The sequence below is a fragment of the Homo sapiens genome, chromosome 6 (assembly GCF_000001405.40).
Source record: "Homo sapiens chromosome 6, GRCh38.p14 Primary Assembly".
NCBI lineage: Eukaryota > Metazoa > Chordata > Mammalia > Primates > Hominidae > Homo > Homo sapiens.
In genome coordinates this window covers 18,262,935-18,271,494 of record NC_000006.12, presented here as the reverse complement: position 1 = coordinate 18,271,494, position 8,560 = coordinate 18,262,935, and the positions used below count along the sequence as shown (strand labels likewise).

General features: G+C 49.0%; 1 protein-coding gene and 1 long non-coding RNA gene across 5 annotated transcripts in view, besides 4 other annotated features; one reads left to right on the top strand and one right to left on the bottom strand.

Annotated features, from left to right (window-relative positions):
- On the bottom strand, window positions 2,275-6,963 carry LOC124901270 (uncharacterized). Its single transcript, XR_007059486.1, has 2 exons — window positions 6,418-6,963; window positions 2,275-5,765 (listed from the first exon to the last, which is right to left on the bottom strand). It is a non-coding gene; the product is annotated as an uncharacterized LOC124901270 (long non-coding RNA).
- Window positions 6,605-6,884: a silencer, noted in NCBI's record as "silent region_16974". NCBI's record gives its function as "represses an Ori minimal core promoter by ATAC-STARR-seq in GM12878 lymphoblastoid cells {active_cell/tissue: GM12878}" and the evidence as "EXISTENCE:reporter gene assay evidence [ECO:0000049][PMID:35858748]".
- Window positions 6,925-7,284: a silencer, noted in NCBI's record as "silent region_16973". NCBI's record gives its function as "represses an Ori minimal core promoter by ATAC-STARR-seq in GM12878 lymphoblastoid cells {active_cell/tissue: GM12878}" and the evidence as "EXISTENCE:reporter gene assay evidence [ECO:0000049][PMID:35858748]".
- The window catches only part of DEK (DEK proto-oncogene), a 40,671-nt gene continuing 39,075 nt past the window's right edge, over window positions 6,965-8,560 (top strand). For 3 of the 4 annotated variants that reach the window (NM_001134709.2, NM_003472.4, XM_047419335.1), the window contains exons 1-2: window positions 6,965-7,110; window positions 7,499-7,652. In NM_001134709.2, the coding sequence (NP_001128181.1) occupies window positions 7,508-7,652 (145 nt within the window). In that variant the 5' untranslated portion in view covers window positions 6,965-7,110; window positions 7,499-7,507. Of the gene's footprint in view, window positions 7,111-7,281; window positions 7,398-7,498; window positions 7,653-8,560 lie in introns of those variants that run through there. The other variant, XM_024446544.2, reaches the window with a different exon arrangement.
- Window positions 7,290-7,841: an enhancer, noted in NCBI's record as "NANOG-H3K27ac-H3K4me1 hESC enhancer chr6:18263885-18264436 (GRCh37/hg19 assembly coordinates)". NCBI's record gives its function as "activates a minimal SCP1, AML or CMV promoter by ChIP-STARR-seq in naive H9 embryonic stem cells {active_cell/tissue: H9 hESC(naive)}" and the evidence as "EXISTENCE:reporter gene assay evidence [ECO:0000049][PMID:30033119]".
- Window positions 7,345-7,404: a silencer, noted in NCBI's record as "silent region_16972". NCBI's record gives its function as "represses an Ori minimal core promoter by ATAC-STARR-seq in GM12878 lymphoblastoid cells {active_cell/tissue: GM12878}" and the evidence as "EXISTENCE:reporter gene assay evidence [ECO:0000049][PMID:35858748]".

The window sequence follows — 8,560 nt, the reverse complement described above, 5'->3', positions numbered from 1 at the left end:
TTTGAAAACGTCTGTTTATTCTAAATTTAATTTTTTAAATCCAAGCTGCATGTCAGTCAGGTACTCTCCCAAACCTTCTCTAATTTCCTGAAATGAAGAATGAGTTATAACAAGAAATGTTTTACTTATTAAAGTCTAGATTAAAAATAAGATTTGACCGGGCACAGTGGCTCACGCCTGTAATCCCAGCACCTTGGGAGGCCGAGGCGGGCGGATCACTTGAAGTCAGGAGATCGAGACTAGCCTGACTTACATGGTGAAACCGTCTCTAACTAAAAATACAAAAATTAGCTGGGCGTGGTGGCACACGTCTGTCATCTCAGCTACTTGGGAGGCCGAAGCAGGCGAATCACTTGAACCCAGGAGGCGGAGGTTGCAGTGAGCCAAGATCGCGGCACTGCACTCCAGCCTGGGTGACAGAGTGAGACTCCATCTAAAAACAAAACGAAACAAAAAAAAAAAAATGAAGAAAGAAAGAAAACCAAAAAATGGAAAAAATAAGATTTATAGAAATATTTTAGAGTTACACATATCTATTTTCGAAAATAACACCCCATTTTGACAGTCTTGTGACAATGTTGATATCTAGCCAACTTGCAATAGAAATCATTTTTCTGACTCTGATGTTATGATTTGGCCAAGGGCATTAATATAACCTGAGTATTGAATCTTAGTAGAAAAGCCCCCTCCTATAGAGATGACCTGCCTGTTTTGTTTTAACAGCAAATAAGGGCAATAATACCAAGGCTCTATGCTTCTCTATTCCTTTAGTCTCATTCCATGGAACAGCTGATAAGATATATTAAAGAAATGTGTTACAAATAATACTCTTAAAGTTAGAGCAAAATTAGTTACTAGGAGCAAAAGTTTGTTAGCCATTCATCCTTTGTTCTCCAAGTTTTCTAAGCCTCACCATTTCCCTTACCTCCTCCAACTGCTTGCCTTGAGGGGGTCCTCCCTGACCATTGTCAAGCCAGAACATCCACTTTATTCAACCAACTGGATATTGTTGCATTCAGATATTTTCCAAACCCAATCTTAAATAGCTACACCGTACACTGTGGCTAACTCACTCCACCAGAATAGAGTATGATATCTTGTTTTTAGAAGAACCAAATGTGTCACTATATTTATATTTATAACCAGGTTTAAAAAAGAATCTGTTCATTAGCTTATTCAAGCCACGTTAGTTTACTGACTTGATATTACTGGACTTTTTTTTTTTTTTTTTTTGAGATGGAGTTTCGCTCTTGTCGCCCAGGCCAGAGTGCAATGGTGCAATCTCAGCTCACTGCAACCTCTGCCTCCCGGGTTCAAGCGATTCTCCTGCCTCAGCCTTCCAAGTAGCTGGAACTACAGGCATGCATCACCACGCCTGGCTAATTTTGGTATTTTTAGCAGAGATGAGGTTTCTCCATGTAGGTCAGCCTGGTCTCGAACACTCGACCTTAGGTGATCCGCCCACCTCGGCCTCCCAGAGTGCTGGGATTACAGGCGTGAGCCAACGCGCCCAGCCTGGATGGTCTTTAAATAGCATCCAGACAACAAACTCATGCCAGACTAAGAACCAAAAGGGGGTGCACTTTAATTAAACAAATTTTTTTAAAGTATTTACTATGTGTCAGGCACCATGCCAAGCACCGGGAGGGAATAATAAAAGGAAGCACAGGGCCTCTGCCCCTGAAACTTACATTCTGGGAAAAATCGATCTGTGTATGCAAGAGTTAGATTATGTGCATGAGAAAGATCGGTATGTGTGTGCAGTTTATATAAAAACTTCTCACAGGCAAAAGGAGGGAAGTGTTTAAGAACCAGGGTTTCAATAATTGCCAAAATAAAACCAACATATTCTCAGGCACATCCCCTGTTCATCCCGATTGTCCCAGATATGGTTGCAATTAGCCCTTCTGTGTCAGAGACAGCAATACTCATCAGCTACTTCCTGTGTGCCCCTATATTGTCTAAATTCTTTGTGGTTAGGTGGGATCATATGACTGAGCTGACCAATGAGCAGAACCACAGAACAGCAGGTATGGGTTCTCCTCTTGCTCTCTTCCCCTACCACCATGAACATGATGGACTTGTGTTAAGATAGTAGATCTACAAGATCAAAGTAGCCTAGAGCAATGACTAAACCACACAAACGGAAGCCCTGGAGAATTGCCTGAACTGACAGGGAGATTTATAGAGCAAGAAACAAACTTTGCCATTAGGCCATTGAAATAGCCCGTTTTATCCTAATATACTTTCTCATCACATTAACCAAAAAAATTCTGGATCTTCATAATACGGGTTTATTTTGGTTGGCATTCATTCACTCAGCAAAATACTTACTATGTGTTAGGCACTGTTTTGGGTGCTGAGAATACAGTGATGAACAAGACAAAGTCCCTGCAGCCTCAGGGAGTTTACATTTTTGTAGGAAAGATAGACAATAAATAAACAAAATTTTCTGGTAGTGATAAATGTAATAAACAGAAATAAAGTTATTACTGATCGGTCCTGTACCCTTCTCACTAAGCCTCGCCCTTCTCATGTCTTTACTTCCCTCCTTACTCAGCTCAGACTCTATGGTCCATCACTATCTTCCTTGTCCTGTGTGTATCCTCAACTCACTCACCGTTTTCTCCTTCTTTCTTACCTGCCTAGCAAAATACCAACCTGGTTAAATGCACTTTTTGGATGCTGTTGTTGCCATCTTCGTACTTACTCCCAGGTAGCTGAATATGGCCGGAGAAAAACAATAATGCTGACTGGTCTCACTCTCACTTTACAGCCATTGATCCCAGTGAGTCCTTGCAGCTACATGGCAAGCCTACGACATTCCCTAATCCATCCATCTCCCATTTTTCTACATGATCACTTCACATTTCCTGTCCAAAAACCTTCAACAGTCTCTCTCACACTCACTCACTGTCAATAATGTTGCCCCGGATTTTACTGAGAAACTTAAAGAAATAAAAACTTCAAAAACTCCCACTTACATCTGCCAACCCCTGCCCTGCATGGGTACTGATGTCCTCTGTGTTTCCTCTTGTTACAATGGAACAGCTTTCCATTGTCCTTTTCAAGGACAACTCTTCTACTTGTGCACTAGATCCCATGTCCCCTCATCTCCTGTGGCAGACATGGAGATGTGTCACCCAGATGCCTCTTCAAGGAAGGATCTGCTGCCCAGCTGCAGACCCTAGAGTTAGCAGGCAGCCTCCATCTGTCAGCTCCTTCAGGATCTGCCAAAGCCACTAAAGTGGAATCACTTCAGTCGAGGTAACACCCTTCCTGGGGCTGCCTGCATGCGGTGACTGAGCAGTATGGCGATATAAAAGCTCAGCCACTCAGAATACCCTGAAGAGCAGCACTCACTCCAGAACTCCCCTCGTAGCTGTCTGAAGCTCTGTCAAGCCAGCTTTGCAGTTTGACCTCTTCCTCTGCCCAATCTTACTTCTTCCCCCTTCCCTTCACAGTTCTTCACCTCTAATAATCACCTGGTGTCCCAAATTCTGTTTCAGCTTCTGCTTACAGAGAACCCAACCTGACCTACCTACTGTAGATTGGCTTCAGCTACTGTCTCCTTCTCTTGTATCATCAATGTTCCCCTCTCCACTGATTCATTCTCATCATCATACAAACATGGGTCTCTTTTCTTCAAAACCAAACTCCCTTTGAACTACTGCTCCTTCTTTGTTTTCCTGTACAGCAACATTCCTGGAAAGAGTGTCTGAATCCATTCCTTGCCTACCTGTCTCTCTGTATTCCCACTCCTGGAACATTTAGACTCACCACCCCACAGAATAGTCCATGTCACTGATAACACAACATTGGTATTTCCAGTGGTCAATTATCAGTTCTCATCTTACCTGACCTTTTATCAGCATGTGACTCAGTGGATCACCCTCCTTCAAAAACACTCCTTTGTCACTTGGCTTCTCGGACACAATTTTCATGTAAGTCTCTTCCCACTTCACTGGCTACAGTTGCTCTTCTCTTCTCCTTTGCTGGTTCCCCTCTCACTCTTGAACCTCTCAACACTGGAGAGCTCCAAGGTACAATTTTGAATATCCCCTTATCCCTACCTATGTTCCCTGTTAGTGATTTCATTCAGTTTCAGGGCTTTAAATACCATCTACATGTTGACAACTGCTATATTTATTTCTTGAGCTAGAGTTTCTTCTGCTGAATGCCAGACTCTCAAATCCAACTGCCACTCCTGAATCTCCATTTTGAATTGTCAAAACTAACATGTCTAAAACAAAACAACTCATTCCCACCTCCTGCACTTTCCCCTCTAAAACCATCCTGCCCACCCCCACCCCCGAAGTCTTTCTCATCTCAACGAATAGCTACTCCTGTTCTCACAGTTGTTGAACCAAAAACCCCAAGGTCATCACTGATTTCTACCTGACTCTCGTGCCCCACATCCAAAACTTTAGAGCATTCTTTGGAATAACCTAGTGGGTCTTCAGATCTCCCATTTTCTTAGGATCTCTTCAAATGTCATCTTATTAATAAGTCATTGCTTCATTGTTGAATATATAAAACAAAATCCCATCCACCCTACTGGTACTTCCTATCTTCTTTAACTTGCTTTACTGCTATCACTAATTGTCATAGAATATATATTCACCTGCTCGTTGTCTTGATGGCAGTGACAGCCTGTCTGGAGCAGCTGCTGAGGGGATGCCAGCTGCAGTATGGAAGGCGTGGCCAGAGCTGCCCACTCCTCAGAGACAGCGGGCGCCAGGAACATGCAAGAGCCCCGTCCCCTACCACGTCAGCGAGGCGGGAGACCCATGTTCCTGGGCACAGCTGCAGCCGTCCAGCCGCAGCTCTGCACCCAGCCATCCCTGCACTCTTGGGGGCCCAGGAAACCCCCTGCCCCTGCAGGCTGAAAGTGCCTGCTCCTGAGGTTGCAGTGAGCCAAGAGCACGCCACTGCACTCCAGCTTGGGTGACAGAGTGAGACCCTGTCTCAAAAAAAAAAAAAAAAAAAAAAAGAATGTGCCTGTTCCCAGGCCTCTACCCTCTCTCTACCCACTCCCAGGGCCCACTCCAAGGCGGAGCAAAGTTGTGGCCAGGCACGGGCGCTGCTGCAACCCAGCTGGGTGTGCACGTGTTCAGGGCAGCACTGACACACCAGCCACCTGCCGCCTTGGCCCTCTCTGGACTTTGGGCACCAACAAGTGCGAGAAAGAGGCTGGTGGGGCTGAGGGTGGCTCCGCGTGGGCCTGCAGGCACCCCTCAGCACAAACAGCCTGGGCGCCATGGATGACATGTTGATGGTGGGAGGCAGACACGTTCCTGGGGGGAAAGGGGTAGGTCCCTGCCCACCTTCAAGCCAGGGATGGCCTGAAGCCTGGGGGGCCTGGTGGCCAGTTCCAGGTAGAGTCTGCAGCCCAGAGTGAAAACTAGTGGTGCTTTTTCTGGGCCCACCCATGGGCCAATCAGCACACACTTCCTCCCTTCTGAGCCCATAAAAACCCCAGACTCAGCCAGCGCTCAGGCCTACCAGCTGCAGGAAGGAGCTACCCACTTTGGTCTCCTCAACTCGTCAGGACCACCTGCCTGCAGAAAGGAGCTGCCCACTATGGGTCTCCTCTCCACTGAGGGCAGGACGCTAGTCGGGACAACCCCCCTGCAGAAAGGAGCAACCCACTTCAGGTCTCAGGAGAGCTGTTCTGTCCCTCAGTGAAGCTCCTGTCCACCTTGCTCACCCTCCAGTTGTTTGCGTGCCTCACTCTTCCTGGACACAGGACCAGAACTCAGGACCTGCCAAATGGTAGGATTGAAAGAGCTGTAACACAAATAGGGGTGAAACACAACCCCCCACTCCCAACCACGTTGCAGGCAGCAAGAAGGAGAGATGAGCTGTGGAGTGTGGATAGGATTTGAGTGGGATAAATAGTGTGGAAAATGGCATACCGTTTGAGGGTAGAAATGACACTATTCGCGTATGTTTTGGAAGGGGAACAAAAGGAAAAGGGAAGATTCAAAGGAAATGTCTAATTTTTGTCCTGCAACCCAGAGTCCAGGCAAATTTCACTGATCACATTTCTATTAAGTCCACTGAGTACAAGGATCCTTCAGGTGAGCTAGTGGTTGAAGAGTTGGGAGAAAATAAAGGAAATCACATACAAAAGAAGGCAGCATTGAGCAGGGAAGATACTGCTTTGAGTGTCTGCAGTGTTGAATGTGTAAAAAGCATCTGCATAGATGACCTAGAACTCTGGGAGAAGGGTCTGGACCCGGCCAAATAACATATTTCCTCTATTATAAAACAGAGAGTGTGTGTGAGAGAGGAGAGGAGAAGGAATGGGGTGGGAGGGAGCCTCTCCCCTTATATTTACAGGGGTGTAAATCTATGTGGCTGGCTATGTGAACCTTTAACGTGGCAGGTAGGATCTTTTTCCTTTCGGTGCACCTTACAAGCGATGCGGTCCTCAGAAATACAGATTTGGGAGTTATCTATCACCCAGCATGATTTCTGGAGCATTGATGAGACCGCTGATTAATTCTCCTCCGCCTCAGAGTAACACTGTCGATAGCGACTTCGGAGATCTCTAAACTTCTTTACCGCGCCCGCCGCGCCCCTCCGCGGCCCGGGACTGCTCATCATCTTTTCCAGGAAGCGACCGTGGAAACAATAAACACGCAGGCCCCCTAGCGTCCTTCCGTTCCGCGCTGCCAGGCCGCCTCGCCTCCCGCTCCCGCCCGCCCCGCGGGACACAGCCCGCCCGCACTCCGGGGCCCGAGCGCCGACCACACTCCAGGCGCAGCCGGGGAGAGCCCCGCGCGCGCATCCCTCCGCCCGCGGCCGAGGCGACCCCTCGCGGTCCCGCCCGCCCGAGCTTCCCGCGGAGGCACCCGGCCGCCCCGCCTCCCCCGCCCCGCGCCCGCCAACTCCCAGCTCGCGGCCCTGATTGGTCGCCGCATTCCCGCTCTCCTTCCCGAACCGCCATTTTGAAAATCTTGTTGATTCTGGGGAGCCGAGCGCGCGGCGCGAGCGTCACGCCAGACAGCGGCCCGCGCGCCTTCTCCTCGGCGTCGGCCGCCGCCGCCTCCCAGAACCTCCTCGTGCCCTCGCGTGCCAGGCCCGCGGCGGCCGAAATCCGCGGTAAGGGCTGCTTCGGGACGCCGGAGGCCCGGTCGCCCCTGCCGCGGCCGACGGGGGAGGGACGCGGCCATTTGGACGGCGGCCTGGGGCGGGGGAGGGGACGTGGAGGGCCGGCAGCTCGGGCCGGGCCGGGAACAGCGCAGGCCGGGCGGGCGCGCGCGCACGCGGGGCAGCGGGCGCGGTTTCCCGCCTCGGGAATCCCTGGACGGCGGCGGCGGAGCGGGAGGGAAGCCGCCCCTGGGGACTGAGCGCTGCGGTCCCGGCTATGGGAGGAGGCAACTTTCAGGGCAGGTGTCCCGCGGGAAGGGTAGCATCATTCAGGGTGGCCGCCCGGTCCTGCCTGCGGGAGTAGGAGGACCGAGACGTCCGGCTTTCTTCCCGCATGCAGGTTCACAGCATGTCCGCCTCGGCCCCTGCTGCGGAGGGGGAGGGAACCCCCACCCAGCCCGCGTCCGAGAAAGAACCCGAAATGCCCGGTCCCAGAGAGGAGAGCGAGGAGGAAGAGGACGAGGACGACGAGGAGGAGGAGGAGGAGGAAAAAGGTGGGGGGAGTCGCATCCCAACTGATGAATTTTTCAGACCGAAGTTTTTTTGTATTTTTCACCCAGGAAACAGTTTTCTTGCTCTTTTGGTGTTTAGAGGCGTGAAGTCGGAGTGATTTTCAGCGAGAATGTGTGCACAATTTATCTGCTTTTGTTTTGAGCGATGGCGTAGAATTGACTTTGTGTATTCCGGTTTTTAAAGTATTTGTTAGCGTGGTAGAGATGTATTGGAGTGCAGCCGACTTCTCGTCCGCTCTAAACGTTCGTTAACATTTCATCATTTGACGGGAAGTTTGTAGGTCTTGGATTTGATTTTTTTTTTTACCTGTGTGTGTGCACCTTTGAAGTTGCTAAGTGGATGTTCTAATTTTGTCCTTTTCATTACACATCTTTTGCCTTTTGAAGTTATTGTAAGGTCTTGGTGCAGCCCGTTAAGACTGAAGTTATAAGGCTAGACCCGGAAGTATTTGAATACTTTCGAATATTTTTACATTTACCAAAAAGTTTCCCTCCCTGGCAAACAGCGGTGAAAGCTGTTGCTACTTGAGAAAGTAGTTAAAAATGAAGAAAGTGAACTCTGAAAGAAAGTTAAATGTGAGCCCAGCACTGTCTCGGTTTCGAACCTGTGTCTGTTTTAAGGGAGGGCGATATGAGCCCTGATTTGACTGGAGGTGTGAAACGGAAACTTGACTGAATAGAGGAGTGTGCTGCGGCAGTTTATCCAGGATGCATGCAGTGTCTGTTTCAGGTGTACCCGCTTCTTGACATGTTTCCAAACATTTAAAAATCCGAGTCGCATCTCTTAGCATTCTTTGATATTAGCTTAGTCTGCGGTTATTTCGTATATGTTTACGACTCAGCCACACTTGGGAAGAGGTTGAAGCGCTCTTCCTAAACCCGGATTTTTT